Source organism: Homo sapiens, chromosome 13, assembly GCF_000001405.40.
Source record: "Homo sapiens chromosome 13, GRCh38.p14 Primary Assembly".
NCBI lineage: Eukaryota > Metazoa > Chordata > Mammalia > Primates > Hominidae > Homo > Homo sapiens.
The window spans coordinates 28057586-28081551 of NC_000013.11; the positions used below are offsets into that span (position 1 = coordinate 28057586).

The window sequence follows — 23966 nt, forward strand, 5'->3', positions numbered from 1 at the left end:
GTGGAGAACACAGCTTCTGTCATGTGCCCAGCACTCAGCCTGGGCGTTGCTCGTTGAACCCTGACTTTTAACCAGTCCTCCCCTTGAGGGTGGGAGAGCTCCATTCCGGTGCCATCATCTCACCTTCTCTGAGCTTCTAGGATCGAAAACTCCCATCTAAAAACACACAGGAGGCCGGGTGCGGTGGCTCATACCTGTAATCTCAGAACTTTGGGAAGCCGAGGCAGGCAGATCACCTGAGGTCAGGAGTTCGAGACCAGCCTGGCCAACATGGTGAAACCCTGTCTCTATTAAAAATACAAAAATTAGCTGAGAATGGCGCAGGCGCCTGTAATCCCAGCTACTCAGGACACTGAGGCAGGAGAATTGCTTGAACCCAGGAGGTAAAGGCTGCAGCAAGCTCAGGTCGCACCACTGCACTCCAGCCTGGGTGACAAGAGTGAAACTCCGTCTCAAAAAAAAACTGAAAAAACAACAACAAAAGCACAGTAAGCTGGGTGCAGTGGCTCACACATGTAATCCCAGAACTTTGGGAGGCCAAGGCTGGCAGATCACTTGAGCCCAGGAGGTCAAGACCAGCCTGGGCCACATAGTGAGACCCTACCTCTATTTTTTAAAAATTAAAAAAAAAAAACAAAAAAAAAAACGGCCAGGTACAGTGGCTCATGCCTGTAATCCCAGCACTTTGGGAGGCTGAAGTGGGTGGATCACCTGAGGTCGGGAATTCAAGACCAGCCTGACCAACATGGAGAAACCCTGTCTACTAAAAATACAAAATTAGCTGGGTGGGGTGGCGCATGCCTGTAATCCCAGCTACTCAGGAGGCTGAGGCAGGAGAATTGCTTGAACCCGGGAGGCGGAGGTTGCGGTGAGCCAAGATCATGCCATTGCACTCCAGCCTGGGCAACAAGATTGAAACTCCATCTCAAAAAATAAAATAAAATAAAATAATAAAATAAGTTCACACTTTCTGACCTTTAGACCCTTAACTGTGCAAAGTGTAGTCTTTCTCTAACAGTGTTAGCATCAGCTGGGAGTTGACAAAGATGTAGAATCTCAGGTCCCACTGAGACCTACTCATCAGAATCTGCATTTTAAACAAGATCCCCAGGCAATCCAAATACAGGTTATATTCGAGAAGCCCTGCTTTAAAGCAGCAAGCAGGTTCAATAGAACATGGGCCTGCATTCTTAAACACAGTCAATTAGCAGGATATATACTTGATTTGCTTCTGCAGATCTATTTTGATGATATGCTTTTTTTCTCTGAACCATTCGCCTGGCATGAGCCACCACGTCTGCAGTCGCAGAAGTTTGGGAGGCGAGGTAGGAGGATCACTTGAGGCCATGAGTTCAAGACTAACCTGGGCAACATATTGAGATGCCTTCCCAATAAAAAGAAAAAATGTGGCTGGCACTGTGGCTCACGCCTGTAATCCCAGCACATTTGCAGCCAAAAAACAAGAAGTGAGTAATACAATCGCAAAAGAGGAAAGGAAAATGAATGCGTTCCAAGATTTAGAACTCAACTTCAGAACTATACTCACTGTCCTGCAAATCACTTAAGAGAAGAATGTATTTGACCTTAAAAACAAATACAAATAACTGGTACAAGTTGATCACAGAGACGTTCTCCAAGACCCTATCAAGGGGCCCGATACCCCTTGCAGGCCATTTGGGTACTGTTTACTACATAGTTCCTGGAAAGCGCGTGCCTTCTCTACACCTAAGGGACAACAGGACAGCCACAAGAATGTAAAAGAAAGGCTGCGTTAAGAGGGCATTTAATTGACCTATGTCCTTTGCCCCATCTCATTTCGGCAAGAGGACAAGGACAGCAGGGGGCAGCAATCAGCATAGAGCTATACAGGGTTAGGACATTACCCACACATCTTGGCTAAGACATTTTTCTGGATGAGATCGATGTTCCTCACAGACAGATCAATGTCTTACTAAATAATCTGTAGATAGCACATAACATTGCAATTCTGCTTATCATATTGTGAAACAAAATAGATAAGATCAAATGTTCTTTTCCCAAGCATTTCCCAAGAATAAATTTCCTTTAAAAAAATTTTTTTTTAAAGAATTTCTTGGCTGGATGCTGTGGCTCATGCCTGTAATCCCAGCACTTTGGGAGGCCGAGGTGGGCAGATCAAGAGGTCAAAAGACGGAGACCATCTTGTCCAACATGGTGAAACCCCACCGCTATTAAAAATACAAACATTAGCTGGGCGTGGTGGCAGGTGCCTGTAATCCCAGCTACTCGGGAGGCTGAGGCAGGAGAATTGCTTGAACCCAGGAGGAGGAGGTTGCAGTGAGCCAAGATCATGCCACTGCACTCCAGCCTGGCAATAGAGCAAGACTCTGCCTCAATAAATAAATAAATAAATAAATAAATAAATAAATAAATAAATTTAAAAAAGAAATTTCTTGCTACACTAACAAGAATGAAATGAAAACTTTCTAAATTTTATCTTTAACATGATATCCAACTAAAAAACAAGACACTTAAAAAATCCCAAATAGACCCAGTGCGGTGGCTCACGCCTGTAATCCCAGCACTTTGGGAGGCTGAGGTGAGTGGATCACCTGAGGTCAGGAGTTTGAGATCAGACTGGCCAACATGATGAAACCCTGTCTCTACTAAAAATACAAAAAAAAAAAAAAAAATGAAAACAAAAAACATTAGCCAGGAATGGTGGTGGGTGCTTGTAATCCCAGCTACTCAGGAGGCTGAGGCACGAGAATTGCTTGCAGCTGGGAGGCAGAGGTTGCAGTGAGGTGAGATCGTGCCACTGCACTCCATCCTGGGAGACAGAGCAAAACTCTGCCTCAAAAAAAAAAAAAAATTCTTAATTGTAAATAAGGTAAAAATATTTAAAAAAAAAAAAAAGAAAAAGGAAAAAAAATCCTAGATATTCTTTTCACTATTTGTTTTACATTTTGCCAGCCACTCACTGCTTTCTATATACTTATATATGTGTCTGTGTGTATAGGTTTAACTTAATAGACTTGTTTCTTTTTTTCTTTTTTTTGAGACGGAGTCTCACTCTTGCCTCTCAGGTTGGAGTGCAGTGGCGTGACATCGGCTCACCGAACATCCCCCTCTGGGCTTCAAGCTATTCTCCTGCCTCAGCCTCCCAAGTAGCTGTGATTACAGGCCCGCACCACTATGCCAGGCTAATTTTTTTATTTTTAGTAGAGATGGGGTTTCACCATGTTGTCCAGGCTGGTCTCGAACTCCTGACCTCAGGTGATCCTCCCACCTCGGCCTCCCAAAGTGCTGGGATTACAGGCATGAGCCACTGCACCCAACCAACTTTACTTTTTAGAGAGTTTTAGACTTACAGGAAAATTGAGCAGAAGACACAGAAAGATGCCATATATGCCCTTCCCTCCACACACAGTTTCCCTTATTATTAACATCTTGTATAGGTGTGATATGTTTGTTACAATTGATGAACCAATTTTAAAGTTCATAGTTTGGGCCGGGCACGGTGGCTCATGCCTGTAATTCCAGTACTTTGGGAGGCCGAGGTGGGAGGATCATCTGAGGTCAGGAGTTCGAAGCCAGCCTGGCCAACATGGTGAAACCCCATCTCTACTAAAAATACAAAAATTAGCTGGGTGTGGTGGTGTGCGCCTGTGATCCCCGATATTCAGGAGGCTAAGACAGGAGAATTACTTTAACCTGGGAAACAGAAGTTTCAGTGAGCCAAGACCAGGCCACTGCACTCCAGCCTGGATGACAGAGCGAGATAGTTCGCATTAGGGTTCATTTTTTGTGTTATACATCCTATGAGATTTGACAGATATATAATGTCATGTATTGATGCCCTAACTGTATTTTTAGTTCATTATTTCACTGAAGATAAGAGTTACAAAAAACAGGCCGAGGCCAGGCGCAGTGACTCACACCTGTAATCCCGGTACTTTTGAAGGCTGAGGTGGGTGGATCGCTTAAACCCAGGAGCTCAAGACCAGCCTTGGCAACATGGTGAAAAACCATGGTGCCTAGAAAAAATTTAAAAAATTAGCTGGGTGTGGTGGCACGCGCCTGTAGTCCCAGCTACTTGGGAGGACTGGGGTGGGGGGATTACTTGAGCTTGGAAGGTCGAGGCTACAGTGAGACAAGATTGTGCCACTCTACTCCAGCCTGGGTGACAGAGAGAGACCCTGACTCACAAAAAAAAAAGGTTTACAATAAACATGAACAGAAACTTGAAACAAAATTCCAAATGAACCACATTTTATGTCAAGAAGGTATTCCTCCACTTACCTGTTTTGTAAATCAAAATGTGGCTGGCAATTCAGGGAGCTGTGCTTAAAGACCCAGAGACAGGAAATGTTCCCTGGGGCGTCGACCAGCACTTGCAGTGTGATGGAAGCAGATACATCCACTTCCACAGCGGCAGCTTCGTACACTGTCCCTGAGCTCTGGGGTCTCAACGCACACCCGAGGTCTTCCGGGGATTCTGATACCTACGTTGCAGATAGAACAAAGTGAATTCATGAAAACTGCAGGTCTAAGGCCTCCCCTTCTTCACATCAAAACTTTATCAAACATATGCATGCTGACACACTGCACGCAACACCCACACAAGCTGGAACCCACTGAGAACACGTTGCCGACTGAAGGTCCTATTAATTATAATTCTCTAAAGAAAAGATAAATAACATTGGGCTGCATTTCTAAAATGTTGTACGGACTGTCATGGCGTGTGTCCCCCTACCTCTGCAAGTTCATATGTTGAAGTCCTAACCCTCAAATGCAACTTTATTTGGAGATGGTCTTTACAGTGGTAATCAAGTTAAAATGGGTCATTAGGGTGGGCCTAAATCCAGTATGACTCGTGTCCTTATAAGAAGAGGAGGCAGGGCACGGTGGCTCACACCTGCAATCCTAGCACTTTGGGACGCGGAGGCAGGCAGATCACTTGAAGTCAGGAATTCAAGACCAGCCTGGCCAACATGGTGAAACCCTATGTCTACTAAAAATACAAAAAATAAGCTGGAAGTGGTGGTTGGCACCTGTAATCCCAGCTCCACGGGAGGCTGAGGCAGGAGAATGGCTTGAACATGGGAGGCAGCGGTTGCAGCGAGCTGAGATCGCGCCACTGCACTCCAGACTGGGCAACAGAGTGAAACTCTGTCTCAAAAAAAAAAAAAAAAGAGGAGATTTGAAGGCAGATACACAGACAGTAAGAACACCATGTGAACAGAAAGACAGCCATCTTCCAACCAAGGAGAGAGGCCTGGAGCAGATTCTTGCTCACTGCCCTTAGAAGGAACCAACCCTGCTGACATCTTAATTTTGGACTTCTAGCTTCCAGAATTGTGAGATAATAAATTTCTGTTGGTTTCAGTTGCCCAGTCTGTGGTAGTTTGTTGTATCACCCCTAGCAAACTAATCAGACCGTAATTATAAAATCTATAATATATAGGTAAATATTTTTGTGATTGTTGGTATATAGATAAAAATTTATAAAGCAATGGTAAATTGGTATCTGTGTTAGAGGAAATTTAAAAACCAAATTTTCTGGGCAGATGTCCCCATAGCCACACTGCCACCACACTTCTTGCCTGCTTTAAATAATTGAGATATATGAGGCCAGGCGCTATGGCTCACGCCTGTAATTCCAGCACTTTGGGAGGCTGAAGTGGGCAGATCACTTGAGGTCAGGAGTTCGAGACCAGCCTGGCCAACATGGTGAAACCCCATCTCTACTGAAAATACAAAAAATTAGCTGGGTGTGGTGGTAGGCGCCTGTAATCCCAGCTACTCAGGAGGCTGAGGCAGGAGAATCACTTGAACCTGGGAGATGGAGGTTGCAATGAGCCTAGATCCCGCCAATGCACTCCAGCCTGGGGGACGGAGTCAGACTCTGTCTCAAAAAATTAATTAATTAATTAATTAAGATATATTGACAGCAGGGGTTGGAGCAGCTTCTGCTGTGGAGTCCCCCACCTCCTATCTCCTTTACATGGCTGAACACAGCATGCACACATGCACACACATGAGCACACACATATTTCTTCAGGTGAAGAGCAGGGTAGCTCTTCTGCTACCAGTCAAAAACCATATTTCTGGTCTTATTTGTTCACTTACTATGATAAGTGCAAGACCATCTGCTGAGTACTATGAGACTAGAAAAAAAAAAAAGACTAATCTTGCCCTTAAAGAGTTTGAGTCTCCTAGGAATAAATAAGTAAAACACAGGAGAAATACAAGTGTCCCATAAAAAGATACCAAATACTTTGAAATGTAAATTGTAAGTGCCCTGGAACTTCAAAGGAGGGAGAAGAGATTTCTAAGCCGGATGTTTAAGTTTTTCACCCAAGTCCAGTAATTGAGCTGGATCATAAAAGATGGGCACAAGATAAAGTAAAAAATAATAGACAAGTCAAGCATGGTGGTACATGCCTGTAGTTCCAGCTACTCAGGAGGCTGAGGTGGAAGGATCACTTGAGCCCAGGAGTTCAAGTCCAGCCTGGAGAACATAGCAAGACCCCGTCCCAAAACAAAAAAACCCAGCTGACATACTAGAAGAAAATATGCCAACATATATTACAAGTAAAGGGCGAATACCCCTAATATAAAAAGAACCTTTGAAAATTGAGGGACACAGAACCAAAACACAGTAGACAACTGGGAAAAAGAATTGAATACACAATTCAAGAAAAAAGATATAAAGAATGGCCCTCAGCCAGGGGCGATGGCTCACTCCTGAAATCCCAGCACTTTGGGAGGCCAAGGTGGGCGGATCACAAGGTCAGGAGTTCGAGACCAGCCTGGCCAAGATGGTGAGACCCTGTCTGTACTAAAAATATAAAAATTAGCCGAGTGTGGTGGCAGGCACCTGTAATCCCAGCTACTTGGGAGGCTGAGGCAGAGAACTGCTTGAACCTGGGAGGCGGAGGCTGCAGTAAGCCAAGATGGCACTACTGTACTCCAGCCTGGGCGACAGAGTGAGACTCCATCTCAAAAAAAGAAAAAAAAGAATGGCCCTCAAGCATATGAGAAAATATTAAACCTACTTATAATTAGAAATCCATAAGTTAAAACAAGACTAATATATCACTTCTCCTCTATCAGACTGGCAAAAAATTAAAAAATATGACAACACATTTTGTCGGTGAGGCCATGGGGAAACAGTTTTCTCCTGCATTGCTGGGGGAACACACCCTGCACAACCCTTCTGGAGAAGAATTTGGCAATACCTAATAAAACTTGCGATTCACTCACCATTTGAGCCAGCAATCTCACTTCTGGGAATAAGCACACCTCTAGCAATTAATTGCAGCACAATTCATAATTGCAAAATACTGAAAACAACCTAAATGCTCGTACATAGATGAGTGGTTGAACAAATTATGGTACATCCACACCAGGGGGTACTATGTAGCTATAAAAAAGAATGAAGACAACCTCTAAGAACTGATTTGCAATGATTTCCTGGATGTACTGTTAAGTGAAGAAAGCTAGGTGCAAAAAGTATCTACCTTCAAGTATGCTATGCTATGTAAGAAAGAGGAGAATATAAGGAAATATATATGTATCTGGTCACTTGTGCACAATAAATACTGGAATAATAGCAAAACATCTAAAGGGATTGGTTAATTACAGGGATATGTAGAAAGAGGGTGGAAACTTGTCAGTAGGAGTGAGGAGACAGTGATACTTCTCTGAGTATACTGTTTCACATTGTTTTGACTTTTAGGACAAGAGTCATGTCATGTCTCAAAAAACAAGTAATTAAACCAACCAGGAGGGTCAGGCACAGTGGCTCATGCCTGTAATCCCAGGACTTTGTGAGGCCAAGGCAAGAGGATCACTTGAGCCCAGGAGTTCAAGATCAGCCTGGGCAACAAAATGAGACCCCATCTCTACAAAAAATTAAAAAATTAGCCAGGCATGGTGGTGCATGCCTGTGGTCCTTGCTACCCGGGAGGCTGAGGCAGGAGGATTGCTTGAGCCTAGGAGGTTGAGGCTGAAGTGAGCTATGTTTGTGTCACTGCACTCCAGCCTGGACAACGGAGCGAGATCTTGTCTCAAAGTAATAATAATAATAATAATAATAATAATAATAATAATCCAGGTGTGGTGGCTCACGCCTGTAATCCCAGCACTTTGGGAGGCTGAGGCAGGAGGATTGCTTGAGCCTAGGAGGTTGAGGCTGAAGTGAGCTATGTTTGTGTCACTGCACTCCAGCCTGGACAACGGAGCGAGATCTTGTCTCAAAGTAATAATAATAATAATAATAATAATCCAGGTGTGGTGGCTCACACCTGTAATCCCAGCACTTTGGGAGGCCGAGGCAGGCAGATTGCTTGAGTCCAGGAGTTCGAGACCAGCCTTGGCAACATGGTGTAACCCTGTCTCTAGTAAAAGAATATATAATAAATAAAATAAATAAATAAACCAACTAGAATATGTGAAATGAGGGGGCTGGAAGAAATATCAAGACGGAATACGAACCAAATTAATTCAATTGTATCACAAATAAATAATAACACCATAGTGAAGGGATGGGAAAGAAAGGAACTAACCTAAGTAACTTCAGAAAATAATACTTTGGATCCCTTAAGGCTAAAGACAAAAAGCACTGTACACAAATACTGTCCTTTAGTTAGTAAATCTATTTCTCACCAGGGTATGGGTTAGTAATTCTAAAATTAGATTATCTATATATTGTATTTCCAGGCTCTGCCTGCCGAGAGGGCCTAGAAGCAATGATATCCCAGCAGCAATGGGCACACCCAACTCTCAGATCTTGGTTCCTAAATACTACCCCCCAGAGAAGCCAGTGCTCTTTGGAGAAGTGCTGAATTCCAGGGGTAAGGCAAGAAAAGAAAAATACAAGATGAACCTGAACTATCTGGTAGTGTGTCAAAAATTAAGGAAGGGCTTGGAAAAAGATGAGGAGATGTTGAAAGGACACAGGAGCAAAACTGAAGTAGTTCCTAATGGCCAAAGCTGGAAGAATTTGAGCAACAAAATAAATAATGATTGTATTGGGTTACAATCCAGAGGATAAAATAAATATTCATGGGCCTCTACTGATATAAATAAAAAATTGAATAAATACATAAATAAAATGAGGGGAAAGGGGCAGTGCTTCCTTACAAAGCATTCCAATTAACATAGAGGGAATGTAGGAAAAAGAAAAGCACCATTAGGCAAACACCACCATAATAATCGTAGGCAAGATCCACCAATGGGTGCTAAAATCAGTAGGTGAAAATTAAAGAAGGAACAGGATATTTGCATCCCCTCCAAGACACTTATTAATTATAAGTGAAGAAAATAGTAACTTTGCAGTGGGGATACCTGGCATGCACTGTCTAACTCTAATGATCAAGGTTCACATCTTCATAATGACACCAAATGACTTCCTGTCACTCTGAATATGATGCTCTGGGAAGGGCACGCTCCTGGGAAATTCTTGCCAGAAATCCATAATCTCGTTCTTGTTGCCAGGCTGGAGTGCAATGCATGATTTCAGCTCACCGCAACCTCCGCCTCTGGGGTTCAAGCGATTCTCCTGCCTCAGCCTCTTGAGTAGCTGGGATTACAGGCATGCGCCACCACGCCTGGTTTATTTTGTATTTTTTAGCAGAGACGGAATTTCTCCATGTTGGCCAGGCTGGTCTCGAACTCCCAACCTCAGGTGATCCACCTGCCTGGGCCTCCCAAAATGCTGGGATTACAGGCGTGAGCCACCGTGCCCAGCCCCTGTAAAAAGTTTTTAAAAATTAAAGCTGGGTACAATCCACAATCTGGATAGACAAATCTGCGGGCTTCAGAGGAGAGAGAATAGCATGATAAATGCACAGTACAGAGGCAGTGGGCTCCACCGCTGGCAGTCCGGGAATAGCTTGAGCCAGGCTGACCAGGAGCCAAGGGATGTTCTTGAAGGCCAGGCCACGTTCTTCACCACCTGGCAGAGCTGAGTCCCACAGAGCCATGAAGGCACTGGAATTTAAGAGACTGTGATATCTCAAAATCACAATGTTAAAAAAAAATACAACTTTTGTAATAACACTGAAATTCAGTCTGTTGATCTTCTTATAACAAGTATAGCTAACTAATGAGGACATGAAATCACTAACACAGTTGTTGTCTGCTTACGTAAGTAAAACAGCTGCACAAGCTGTGAAAAGTCCAGAGAAAGCACGTAAAATGATCCATCACACAAAGTCCACCATTCTTTCCCAAATCCTTGTTACAGAAAACCAACCAACAAACAAACAAATCAACAACTCATTCTCTAGAAGTACAGGGTGGGACATGGCAAATAAAGAAAATAAGCTGGCTTGTGCAGGCCACCTGCCTGAAATATGAGGTCATGATTGTCAAACACATTTGGTCAACTCCAGTAACTTCAGTTCTTCACAAAGAGAAAACCAGTCATTAAACCATAGTGGAGACTTTTTGTTTTTATTATTTTTGTTTTTATTATGTTTTGTTTTGTTTTGTTTAGACTGTGCCGCAATGGCACAAGATCTGTTCAGGAGGAATGTGACATTAAATGCAGCTTTGACTTTCTGGAGGAAGGGAGGTATAAATGAACCTATTTGGTAAGGAGAGATAATTTTAGAGTTATGGTGGATTGCCTGCCTATGCTCTCTAATCACTGACAGGAAAAAAAAAACAGTACATCTCACTCAGCTGCTGTGAATACTTGGTGCCTTAGTATAGTCATCTCTTAAAAGCAAATTTGAAGAATATGGAATAGTTGGTGATATGGTTTGGATGTGTGTCCCCTCCAAAGCTCATGTTGAAACGCGATTCCCAGCCAGGTGCAGTGAGTGGCTCATGCCTGTAATCCCAGCACTTTGGGAGGCCAAGGTGGGCGGATAACCTGAGGTCAGGAGTTCGAGACCCATCTGGCTAACATGGCAAAACCCGTCTCTACAAAAAAAAAATCTATGATATATATCATATATATATATGAGATATATATCAGCCAGTAGCAGTGGCTCATGCCTGTAATCCCAACACTTTGGGAGGCCAAGGCAGGCTGGAGGGCAGTGGCACAATCTTGGCTCACTGCAACCTCCACCTCCCTGGTTCAGATGATCCTCCGGCCTCAGCCTCACAAGTAGCTGGGACCACAGGCGCACACCACCATGGCTGGTTAATTTTTTTGTTGTTGTTGTATTTTTGATAGACACGGGGTTTCACCATGTTCCTCAGGCTGGTCTCAAACTCCTCAGCTCAAGCGATCCACCCACCTTGGCCTCCCAAAGTGCTGGGATTACAGGTGTGAGCTACTGTACCTGGCTGATTTCTACTATTTTCAGTTCTCCATCACTTAAGCTTCCCTTGAGTAAATTTACTAAATATATGTTTTTAAAATAGAGGGGTAGGAATAGCACAAGAGAGGGGGTAATGAAAAACAAGACGAACAGCGTAAAAGAGAGGAGTCATGAAAAACAAAGTCGGAACTTGAAGGAGCCAGAGCCAGATTACTGAGCAATCTTGGTATCAGTCTAAGTAATGGGAAATCATGGAGGGTTCAGAGCCAGGCAATGAAGGATGTGCCTGCTTCAGGGAGGCTAGCCCAGCAGCTACCTCTGAGATGAATTGTAGCAGGAAGAGGCCACTTAGGATATCACTGTGATTATGAGGGAGTTAACGAGGGCTTGACTTAGGGAAGTGGCAGTGAGACTAGAGAATATGAGATGATTATATGAGAACTCCTAAAGGGGATCGACAACACTTGGTAACTGACCAAATGTGAAAGTAATAGAAAGAAAGTAGTCCAAAATGATGCTGAGCTTTCAAGCCTGGGAACTAAACAGGGGTATAAACAGAAATCAATAAATACAAGAATAAGAGCAGGCTTGGGGAAATAGAAATGAAATAAAATAAATGACATAGGTGGATTTTGATGTGCAAATGGAAAATCTACCTATATACTGGGGGCAGCTGGAAGTGAGGGATTCAGGCTTGGAAGAAAAGCCAGGATTCTCTTTAAGGAGAAAAGGAAATACAGTAGGCCCTCTGTAACCATGGGTTCCGCATCCATGGATACAACCAACCACAGATTGAAAATATTCCGAAAAAAATGGGGTTGCATCTGTACTGAACATGTACCGACTTTTTTCCCTTGTCATCATTATTCCCTAAACAATAGGGTATAATAACTATTCACATAGTTGTTTAGGTATTATAAAGCATTTGCATCGTATTAGGTATTATAAGTAATCTAGAGATAATTTTAAAAGTATACAGGAGGGTCAAGCATGGTGGCTGAGGACTGTAATCCCAGCACTTTGGGAGGCTTAGGTGGTAGGATCAGTTGAGCCCAGGAGTTCAAGATCAGCCTGGGCAACAGAGTGGGACCCCATCTTTGCAAAAAATAAAAAAAATTAGCCAGGTGTGGTGGCATGTGCCTTTAGTCCCAGCTAGTTGGGAGGTTGAAGTGGGAGGATTGCTTGAGCCCGGGAGGGCGAGGCTGCAGTGAGCTATGATCATGCCACTATACTCCAGCCTGGTCAACAGAATGAGACTGTCTCAAAAATATACAGAATCTGCATAGGTTACATGCAAATACCAAGCCATTTTATATCAGGTACTTGAGTATCCATGGATTTTGGTATTAGTGAGAGTCTTGGAACCATCCCCGCTGTATACCAAGGGACGACTCTACTCATTACTTCATGCTAGTTATCAATCAGTGTCCTTCCTAAATCCTCATATGAAGAATACGGTTCTTGAAGGAATGGAGTGCCAGGGAGCTAGGAGTATAGATGCTCTGTTGGTACCAGATGTGAGGCCATAATATACTTAAATACATAAAGAGAAGCCCATTTAGCCATGGTAGGCTTCAATAACTTACAAATTACGTTCTCTAGAGAAAAACAGCTAAAGGTATAATTTTAATGTTACTTTACCATGGGATATGATGATGACTTCCCCACTGATGAATCATTGTTCTTATGATTGATTAAAACACACTTGATCACAGGCAGATCTTGATTTGTAATAGTCCCAAATATCATTGCAGAAAAAACAACTGTAAAACAAAATAAAAATGATAATGTTGATACATGCACACCTTAAAAAGAAAACATGCATTTATCTTGCAACCAAACAACAAAACAAAGTGTAATCAGAGGAAATTGGCCACTATGAAAGTATGTAGGAAATTTGATTTTATGCAAGTTTAGTCTAGTTTAAATCAGGAGCAGAGATACTTAGAGCAGGGCTGTCCAATAAAACAGTCTGCAGTGATGGACATGTTCTATGCCTGTGCTGTCTAATATGGTAGCGACTAGCTACATGTGGCTCTTAAGCTTTTGAAATGAGGCTAGTTTGACTGAGGAAATGATTATTTGTATACATGATTTGTGTGTGTGTGTGTGTGCACTTTTTATTGTATATAGATTTCTACCTTTTTTTTTTTTTTTTTTTTTGAGATGGAGTCTCGCTCTGTCGCCCAGGCTGGAGTGCAGTGGCGCGTTCTTGGCTCACTGCAAGCTCCGCCTCCCAGGCTCAAGTGATTCTCCTGTCTCAGCCTCCCGAGTGGCTGGGATTACAGGTGCCCGTCACCGTGCCTGGCTAATTTTCTTTCTTTTTTTTTTTGTATTTTTAGTAGAGACGGGGTATCGCCACGTTAGCCAGGCTGGTCTTGGACTCCTGACCTCAGGTGATCCACCCGCCTCTGCCTCCCAAAGTGCTGGGATTACAGGTGTAAGCCACTGTGCCCGGCCTGGTATATTCTTTTTTTCTCTATGGGTGCTTATAGAATCTTTTCTTTGAAACCACAGCACTAAAATTTTCAAAATTATGTGCCTTCCTGAGAGTCTATTTTCATCCATTGTGCTGGGTACTCAGTGGGCCTTTTCAATCTAGAAATTCATATCCCTCTGTTTGGCATTTTCTTGAATTATTTCTTTGATTCCTTCTCTCCTCTTTACTTTCTGTTTGCCCATGATTTAGATATTTTCCCCAAATGACTGACAATCTTTGACAGTCTCTTCACATATAAGAATGAAGTGCTGAGCGTCTATCCTAAGCTCTATGATGTGGCTTGTGGCTCAATCTCTGTAGGTGTATATTTAGGTCTTTTCTCACCGGTTGGTCCGACTCCCCAGAGAAGATTCTCTCTCTTGCTTGCTGCCTGTGTCCTGCGAGCTGGTCTTGGCAAGTTATACTATTGTGGGGTCCTGCAATGAAAAGCAGGCTGCTTCTCAGCTTTCTCAACCCCCAACTATAATTCAGCTTTCATCATCTGCTTCTTCTTTTTAATTTTTTTTTTAAGAGACAGGATCTCGCTATGTTGCACACAGTGACTTCAAACTCCTGGACTCAAGTGATCCCCCTGCCTTGGCCTCCCAAGTTGTTGGATGATAGGTGTGAGCCACTACACCCAGCTTTATCTGCTTTAAAGCTCTCAAAGTTTTACTTTCTCCTTCTCCACCCTCTTTGTCTTTCTATGTTTATATCTTTGTTTCTTTGGGGGTATTAGGTATAATTGGCAAATAAAAATTGCAGTGTACATCATATATTCACAGTGTACATCATGTAATTTTCATATATATATAAAAATATATGTGTATTTATATATAATGTGTGTATGTATATGTATATATTAAGTATATATACATATATATGGGCTTCTCTTTATGTATTTAAGTATATATGTACATATAAGTATATACACATATACATACACACATTGTGAAACGAATACCCCAAACAAGCTAACTAACCTATCCATCAGCTTGTATACTTATCTTTTTCTTTTTCTTTTTTGGTGATGAGAACATTTAAGATCTACTCTCTCTCGCTCTCTCTCTCTCTTTTTTTTAAATTGAGACAGAGTCTTGATCTGTTGCCGAGGCTGGAGTGCAGTGGCACGATCACTGCTCACTGCAACCTCTGTCTCCGGGGTTTGAGTGATTCTCCTGCCTCAGCCTCCCAAGTAGCTGGGATCACGGGTGTGCGCCATCATGCCCAGCTAATTTTCGTGTTTTTAGTAGAGACAGCATTCACCTTGCTGGCCAGGCTAGTCTCAAACTCCTGGCCTCAAGTGATTCAGCTGCCTTGGCCTCCCAAAGTGCTGGGATTACAGGCATGAACCACTGTGCCTGGCCAAGATCTATTCTCTTAACAAATATGCGGCCGGGCGTGGTGGCTCACACCTGTAATCCCAGCACTTTGGGAGGCCGAGGCGGGTGGATCACGAGGTCAGGAGCTCGAGACCATCCTGGCTAACGTGGTGAAACCCCGTCTCTACCTAAAAAAATACAAAAATTAGCCGGGCGTGGTGGCAGGCGCCTGCAGTCCCAGCTACTCGGGAGGCTGAGGCAGGAGAATAGCGTAAACCCGGGAGGCGGAGCTTGCAGTGAGCCAAGATCGTGCCACTGCACTCCAGCCTGGGCGACAGAGCGAGACTCCGTCTCTAAAAAAAAAAAACAACAACAACAAATATGCTTATCTCTTTAAAAGCATTTTTTGGCCGAGCCTGGTGGCTCATGTCTGTAATCCCAGCACTTTGGGAGGCTGAGGTGGGTGGATTGCTTGAGGCCAGGAGTTTGAGACCAGCCTGGGCAACCCAGTAAAAGCATATCTCTAAAAATTTTTTTTAAATTAACTGGGCATAGTGGTGTGCGCCTATAGTCCCAGCCCAGCTACTCAGAAGGCTGAGGTGGGAAAGGATCGCTCAGGCATGGGATGTTGAGGCTGCAGTGAGATGTGATTGCACCATTGCACTCCAGCCCCTGGGTGACACAGTGAGACCTCATCTCTGGAAAAAAAAAAAAAAAAAGCATTTTTTACTGTCACTTGAGTGGTCTGTAGATAGCGACAGGAGGTAATATATGTGTCCAGCCATCTTTGTAATCTCATAATCTGAGACAGTCTCAGAAAGTAAGAACTTTTCCTGCTCCACTCTGTAATGTTTTCTCTCTAGTCTTTAAAAAAATAGTAATTTAAAAAATATTTTATAAGTATAATTAACTTATAATAAATCGTGCACATTAAAAGTATACAATTTAGTAAATTCATACATATCTGCAAATCCATCACCACAATCAAAATGGTGAATTTAAGGCTGGGCATGATGCTCACACCTGTAATCCCAGCGCTTTGGGAGGCCAAGGTGGGAGGATCACTTGAGACCAGGAGTTAGAGACCAGGCTGAGAGATAGAGTGAAACCCCATCTCTACAAAAATTTGTTTTTAAAACATTAGCCAAGTGTGGTGGCACGAGCCTGAAGTCTCAGCTACTTGGGAGGCTGAAGTGGGAGGATAGCTTGAGGCCAGGAGTTTGAAGCTGCAATGAGCTATGATCACGCCTCTGCACTCCAGCCTGGGCAAAAGAGCCAGATCCTGCCTCTAAAAAAAAAAAAAAAAGAAAAGAAAAAAAAGAAAACAATTTTTTTTAAAAGATAGTAAAGTTACCTATCACTCTCAAAAGTTTCCTTATGAAGCTTTGATATCACGCCCTGCTACCAACCCCATTCCCCCACACCCAAGCCACCTCTGATCTATTTTCTGTAATTATAGACTGGTTTGAATTTTCTAAAATTTCATACAAATGGAATCACACAGTATGAACTGTTTTTTTATAGGGTGGGTGGTCTGGCCTCTTTCATTGTGCATTTTTTTGATATTTGTCCATACTGTAGTAGATATCAGTAGTTCATTCCTTTTAATTACCAAGTAGTAATCTGTTGTATAGATATATAACACAATTTGTTTTAATCTATTCACCTGTGGACACACATTTGGGCTGTTTCCACTTTTGCTGTTACTAATAAAGCTGCTATTTATATAAAAGTCTTAATATGGATATATACTTTCATTTCTCTTGGGTAAATACTAAGGAATTGAATGCCTAGGTTATATGGTCAGTGTATTTGTAACTTTTTAAGAAAGTGCCCAATTGTCTTCCAAAGAGGTTAGAGCTTTTATGTTCCCACTCGCAGTGTATGGAATTCCAGTTGTGTCACATCCTCGCTAACATTTGGTATGATGAGACTTTAAAATTTTGGCCTTTCTAATAAGTGTGTTGTATCTCATTGTGTTCTTATTTATTTTTATTTTTTATTTTTTGAGACAGGGTCTCACCCTGTCACTCAGGTTGGAGTATAGTGGCGTGATCACAGCTCACTGCGGCCTTGACCTCCTGGGCTCAAGCCATCCCCCCACCTTAGCTTCCCGAGTAGCTGGGACAACTGGTGCGCACCACCATACCTGGCTAATTTCTGTATTTTTGTAATTTTTGTATTTTTTGTCCAGGCTGGTCTCAAACTCCTAGGCTCAAGTTGTCTGCCCACCTTGGGCTCCTCAAGTGCTGGGATTACAGGTGTGAGCCACTGCGCTCAGCCCTCATTGTGGTTTTAATTTGCATTTTCCTCCTGACTAATGAACATTGAACATCCATTTAGATGATGCTATCACATTCCATAACTTCTCTGGTGGTGTATCTGTTCACATCTTTTGCCCACATCTAACCTTTTTTAATGAGATTGCTCATTTTAAAAAGTATTGAGTATTGTATAATTGACAAAAATATATACTCACGGAGTATAATGTGATGTTTTAATATATGCATACATTGTGGAATGATTAAATCAAGCTAATTAACATATACATCATTGTGGTTTTGATTTGCATTTCCCTGATGATTAGTGATGTTGAACATTTTTTCATATATTTCATATATTTCTTGGACTTGAAATGTTCCCAACACATAGAAATGATAAATATTCAACGTGATGATTACCTCAAATACTCTGAGTTGGTCATTACACATTCTATGGAGGTCACAAAATATCGTATGTACCCCATAAATATGTAAAATATTATGTATCAATAAAAAATAGATGCATCACAAGGCCGGGCATGGTGGCTCACATCTGTAATCCCAGCACTTTGGGAGGCCGAGGTGGGCAGATCACTTGAGGTCGGGAGTTCAAGACCAGCCTGGCCAACATGGTGAAACCCTGTCTCTACTAAAAATACAAAAATTAGCCGGGTGAAGTGGCGCATGCCTGTAGTCCCAGCTACTCAGGAGGCTGAGGCAGAAGAATCACTTCAACCTGGGAGGTAGAGGTTGCAGTGAGCAGGGATCACGCCATTGCACTCTAGCCTGGGCAACAGAGTGAGGCTCTGTCTAAAAAAAAAAAAATGGATGCATCACTTCATGTATTTATTTTTTCATGTTGAGACATCTAAAACCTACTCTCTTAGCAATTTTTTTTTTTTGAGACAGAGTCTGACTCTGTCACCCAAGCTGGAGTACAGTGGCACCATCTCGGCTCACTGCAAACTCCACCTCCCAGGTTCCAGTGATCCTCCTGCCTCAGCCTCCCAAGTAGCTGTGATTACAGGCATGCACCACCACACCCGGCTAATTTTTTGTATTTTTAGTAGAAGTGAGGGTCCCCCATGTTGGCCAGGCTGGTCTGGAACTCCTGACTTCAAGTGATCTGTCCGCCTCGGCCTCCCAAAGTGCTGGGATTATAGGCGTGAGCCACTGCACATGGCCCTTCATAGCAATTTTCTCATATACAATGCATTTTTAAAATATGAGCATTTTGACATTTATTTATTCATCCATCCATGCAATTAACAAATATTAAGTACCTACAATGGCCCCAAAAAGAGAAAATATATTACAAAACATAATCAAATGCTGACGTTTATTTTATTTCATTTTACACAATACATTTGTAGTAGCCTTCTCCAGAGGGACAAAACCAATAGGATATATATACATATATTTCATATATTTGTATATGAAAGGGAATTTTTTAGAGAGAATTGGCTCATGTGATTACAAAGGCGAAGTTCCAGGACAAGCGGTCTGCAAGCCAGAAAATGAGAAAGAAAAGCCAGTAACGTGTCCCAGTCCAAGACCAAAAGCCTCAAAACCAAGGAAGCCAACAATGCAACCCCAGTCTGAGGCCAAAGGCCTGAGAGCCCCCAGAAGGCTGCTGGTGCAAGTGTCAGAGTCCAAGAGCCAAAGAACCTGGAGTCTGATGTCCAAAGGCAGGAGGAGAAAAGGTGTTCTACTCCAGAAGGCAGAGAGAAGGCAGTGTTTGTAGCATGAGTGAGGACTGTAATCTCAGCACTTTGGGAGGCCAAGGTGGGAGGATTGCTTGAGCCCAGGAATTCGAGACCAGCCTGGGCAACACAGTGAAACTCTGTCTCTACAAAAAATACAAAATTAGCCAGGTGTGGTAGCATGTATCTGTAGTCCCAGCTACTCAGGAAACTGAGGCAGGAAGATCACCTCAACCCAGGGAGGTCAAGGCTGCAGTGAGCTGTGATCATGCCACTGCACTTCAGCTTGGATGACAGAGTGAGACCCTGTCTCTGGGTGACAGAGCAAGAGGGAAGGAAGGAAGGAAAGAAGGAAGGGAGGGAGGAAGGGAGGGAAGAGACAGACAGAAAGGAAGGAAGGAAGGAAGGAAAAGAAAGAGAGAGAGAGAGAGGAAGGAAGGAAGGGAAAGAAGAAAGAAAAGAAAGAAAGAAAGAAAAAGAGAAAAAGAAAGAGAGAGAGAAAGAAAGAGAAAAGAAAGAAAGAAAAAGAAAACAAAAGAAAAGAGAGTTTTATTTGGCTCACAGTTACATAGTGTGTGTGAGAAGCATGATGCTAGCATCTGCTTCTGGTGAGGAACTCAGGAAGCTTCATATATTAGTCCGTTTTCACACTGCTGATAAAAATATACCCAAGACTGGGAAGAAAAAGAGGTTTAATTGGATTTACAGCTCCACATGGCTGGGGAGGTTTCAGAATCATGGCAGGAGGCGAAAGGCACTTCTCACATGGTGGCAGCAAGAGAAAAATGAGGAAGCAGCAAAAGCAGAACCCCCTGATAAACCCATCAGATCTCGTGAGACTTATTCCCATCAAATCTCGTGAGACTTATTCACTATCATGAGAATAGCATGGGAAAGTCTGGCACCCATGATTCAATTACCTCCCCCTGGGTCCTTCCCACAACACGTGGGAATTCTGCGAGATACAATTCAAGTTGAGATTTGGGTGGTGACACAGTCAAACCATATCATTCTGCCCCGGCCCCTCCAAATCTCATGTCCTGACATTCCAAAATCAATCATGCCTTCCCAACAGTCCCCCGTAGTCTTAACTCATTTCAGCCTTAACCCAAATGTCCACAGTCCAAAGTCTCATCTGAGGCAAGGCAAGTCCCTTCCACCTATGAGCCTGTAAAATCAAAAGCAAGCTAGTTACTTCCTAGATACAATGGGGGTACAGGCATTGGGTAAATACAGCTGTTCCAAATGGGAGAAATTGGCCAAAACAAAGGGGTTACAGGGCCTATGCAAGTCTGAAATCCAGCAAGGCAGTCAAATTTTAAAGCTCCAAAATGATCTCTTTTGACTCCAGGTCTCACATCCAGGGCATGCTGATGCAAGAGGTGGATTCCTATGGTCTTGGGAAGCTCCGCCCCTGTGGCTTTGCAGGGTACAGCCTCCCTCCTGGCTGCTTTCATGGGCTGGCATTGTGTCTGCAGCTTTTCCAGGTACATGGTGCAAGCTGTCAATGGATCTACCATTCTAGGGTCTGGAGGGCAGTGGCCCTCTTCTCACAGCTCCAGTAGGCAGTGCTTCAGCAGGGACTCTGTGTGGGGGCTCCGACCCCACATTTCCCTTCCACACTACCCTAGCAGAGGTTCTCCATGAGGACCCTGCCCCTGCAGCAAACTTTTCTCAGGGCAACCAGGCTTTTCCATATATCTTCTGAAATCTAGGCAGAGGTTCCCAAATCTCAATTCTTGACTTCTGTGCACCCGCATGCTGAACACCACGTGGAAGCTGCCAAGGCTTGTAGCTTCCACCCTCTGAAGCCACAGCCTGAGCTGTACATTGGTCCCTTTCAGCCATGGATGGAGCTGCTGGGACACAGGGCACCAAGTCCTTGGCTGCATACAGCATGGGGATCCTGGGCTCAGCCCATGAAACCACTTTTTTCTCCTGGGCCTCTGGGCCTGTGATGGGATGGGCTGCTGTGAAGGTCTCCAACATGGCCTGGAGACATTTTCCCCATGGTCTTGGGGATTAACATTAGGCTCCTTGCAACTTATGCAAATTTCTGCAGCAGCTAGAATTTCTCCCCAGAAAATGGGTTTTTCTTTTCTTTTTTTTTTTTTTTTGAGATGCAGTCTCACTCTGTCACCCAGGCTGGAGTACAGTGGCACCACTTTGGCTCACCACAACCTCCGCCTCCCAGGTTCAAGCGATTCTCCTGCCTCAGCCTCCCAAGTAGCTGGGACTAAAGGTGCACGCCATCATGCCCAGATAATTTTTGTATTTTTAGTAGAGACAGGGTTTTACTGTGTTTGCTAGGCTGGTCTTGAACTCCCGACCTCGTGATCCCCCCGCCTTGGCCTCCCAAAGTGCTGGGGTTACAGGCGTGAGCCACCATGCCCGGCCTGGGTTTTTCTTTTCTATTGCATAATCCTGCTGCAAATTTTCCCAACTTTTATGCTCTGCTTCCCTTACAAAACTGAATGCCTTTACAAGTACTCAAGTCATCTCTTGAATGTGTTGCTGCTTAGAAATTTCTTCAGCCAGATACCCTAAATCATCTTTCTCAAGTTCAAAGTTCCACAAATCTCTAGGACAAGGGCAAAATGCCTCCAGTCTTTTTGCTAAAACATAACAAGAGTCATCACCTTTGCTCCAGTTCCCAACAAGTTCCTCATCTCCATCAGATAGACCACCTCGGCTTGGACCTTATTGTTCGTATCACTATCAGGATTTTTGTCAAAGCCATTCAACAAGTCTTTAGGAGGTTCCAAGCTTTCCCACATTTTCCTGACTTCTTCTGAGCCCTCCAAACTGTTCCAACTTCTGCCTGTTACCCAGTTCCAAAGACACTTCCACATTTTCAGGTATCTTTTCAGCAGCACCCCACTCTACTGGTACCAATTTACTGTATTAGTCTGTTTTCATGCTGCTGATAAAAACATACCTGAGACTGGGAAGAAAAAGGGGTTTAATTGGGCTTACAGTTCCACATGGCTGGGAGGCTTCAAAATCATGGTGGGAGGTGAAAGGCACTTCTTACATGGTGGCAGCAAGAGAAAAATGAGGAAGAAGCAAAAGCAAAAACACCTGATAAACCCATCAGATCTTGTGAGACTTATTCACTAGCACAAGGATAGCACGGGAAAGACCAGCCCCCACGATTCAATTACCTCACCCTAGGTCCCTCCCACAACATGTGGGAATTCTGGGAGATACAATTCAAGTTGAGATTTGGGTGGAGACACAGCCAAACCATATCACTTCCACTCATGACAGAAGGGGAAAGGGAGCAGCCATCACATAGTGAGAAAGGAAGGAAGAGAGAGGAGGGGGATGCCAGGCTCTTTTTCACAATCATGTCTTGTAGGAACTAGTAAAATGAGAACTCACTCATTCCCACAGGATGACATCAAGCCACTCACGAGGTATCCACCCCCAGGACCCAAACACCTCCCACTAGGCTCCATCTAAAACACTGGGGATCTGGCCGGGCACGGTGGCTCATGCCTGTAATCCCAGCACTTTGGGAGGCCAAGGTGGGTGGATCACCTGAGGTCAGGAGTTCGAGACCAGCCTGGCCAAAATGGTGAAACCCCGTCTCTACTAAAAATACAAAAATTAGCTGGGCGCCATGGCGCATTCCTGTAATCCCAGCTACTCAGGAGGCTGAGGCACCAGAATTGCTTGAACCCAGGAGGTGGAGATTGCAGTTGGTGGAGATCGCACCACTGCTCTCCAGCCTTGGTGACAGAGAGAGACTCCATCTCAAAAATAAATAAATAAATAAAACATTAGGGATCAAATTTCAACATGAGATTTAGAGCAAAAAATATCCAAACTATATCAACATTATTATCAGCTATAGTCATCATGCTGTACAATAGATATCCAGAACTTACCCTCCTAACTGAAACTTTGTATTATTGAGTTTTGAGAGGTTAAAATTATATATATTCTGGATACAAGTCCTTTATCACTTATGTAATTGGCAAATATTTTCTGCCAGTCTGTGGCTTGTTTTTAGAGGATCAGAAATTTTTAATCTTGAAGATGTCCAATTTATCAATTTTTCTTTTATGGATCATGCTTTTGGCTTTGTATCTAAAAAATCTTCACCTAATCTTAAATCAGAAAGGTTTTCTCCTAGAAGTCATATTTACATTTAATTTTATATTTAGGTCTATGATCCATTTTCAATTAACTTTTCATACATTATGACATATGGATCAAAGTTTTGCACATGAATATGCCATTGTTCCAGTACCATTTGTTGAAAGACTGATTTCTCCACTGAATTACCTTTACACCTTTATCAAAAATAAATTGACCATATATTTTTGGTCAGTTTCTAGGTCGCAAATCACTATACTGTTCCATTAATCTGTTTGTCTATCTGGATGCCAATTCCACATTGTCTTGGTTACTACTGCTTTATAATAAGCCTTGGAATCTACTACAAATTCTCTAACTTTGTTCTTTAGAGTTGTTTTGGATATTCTAGTTCTCTTGCATTTCCATATGAATTTTAGAATCAGCTTGTCAATTTCTGCAAAAAGATCTACAGGGATTTTAAAAGGAATTTCACTGAATCACTAGATCAATTTGGGCAAAACTGACATTATAACAATATTGAGTTTTCTAATACATAAATATGGCATATCACTCCTTTTAATTAGATCTTACTTAATTTCTCTTATCAATGTTTTATAGTTTTCATTATGGGTCTTGCCCATCTTTCTCCCTGTTTCATATTTTTGGATACTATTTTGGTATTCTTCCCTTCAATTTCTGATTGTTAGTTGCTAGGACATAGAAAGATAATTAATTTTTTTCCACACTGATAGTACATCCTGCAAACTTACAGAACTCACTTATTAGTTACAGTCACTTTTTGTAGGTTCTATAGAATTTTCTACATAGGTTATCATGTTGTCTGTAAATAA

The 23966-nt window shown here is 42.9% G+C and overlaps 1 protein-coding gene and 1 pseudogene across 4 annotated transcripts in view; one reads left to right on the forward strand and one right to left on the reverse strand.

The window, feature by feature from the left end:
- FLT3 (fms related receptor tyrosine kinase 3) overlaps positions 1-23966 on the reverse strand; it is a 97303-nt gene that overhangs the window by 54312 nt on the left and 19025 nt on the right. For 3 of the 4 annotated variants that reach the window (NR_130706.2, XM_017020486.2, NM_004119.3), the window contains exons 2-3: positions 12906-13027; positions 4282-4484 (exon numbers count right to left, since the gene is read on the reverse strand). Coding sequence is in view for 3 of the 4 variants with exons in the window: in XM_017020486.2 (XP_016875975.1) it covers positions 4282-4484; positions 12906-13027 (325 nt within the window). In the remaining variant the exon portion in view is untranslated. Of the gene's footprint in view, positions 1-4281; positions 4485-12905; positions 13028-14088; positions 14214-23966 lie in introns of those variants that run through there. The other variant, XM_011535015.3, reaches the window with a different exon arrangement.
- On the forward strand, positions 10002-10758 carry KATNBL1P1 (katanin regulatory subunit B1 like 1 pseudogene 1; annotated as a pseudogene).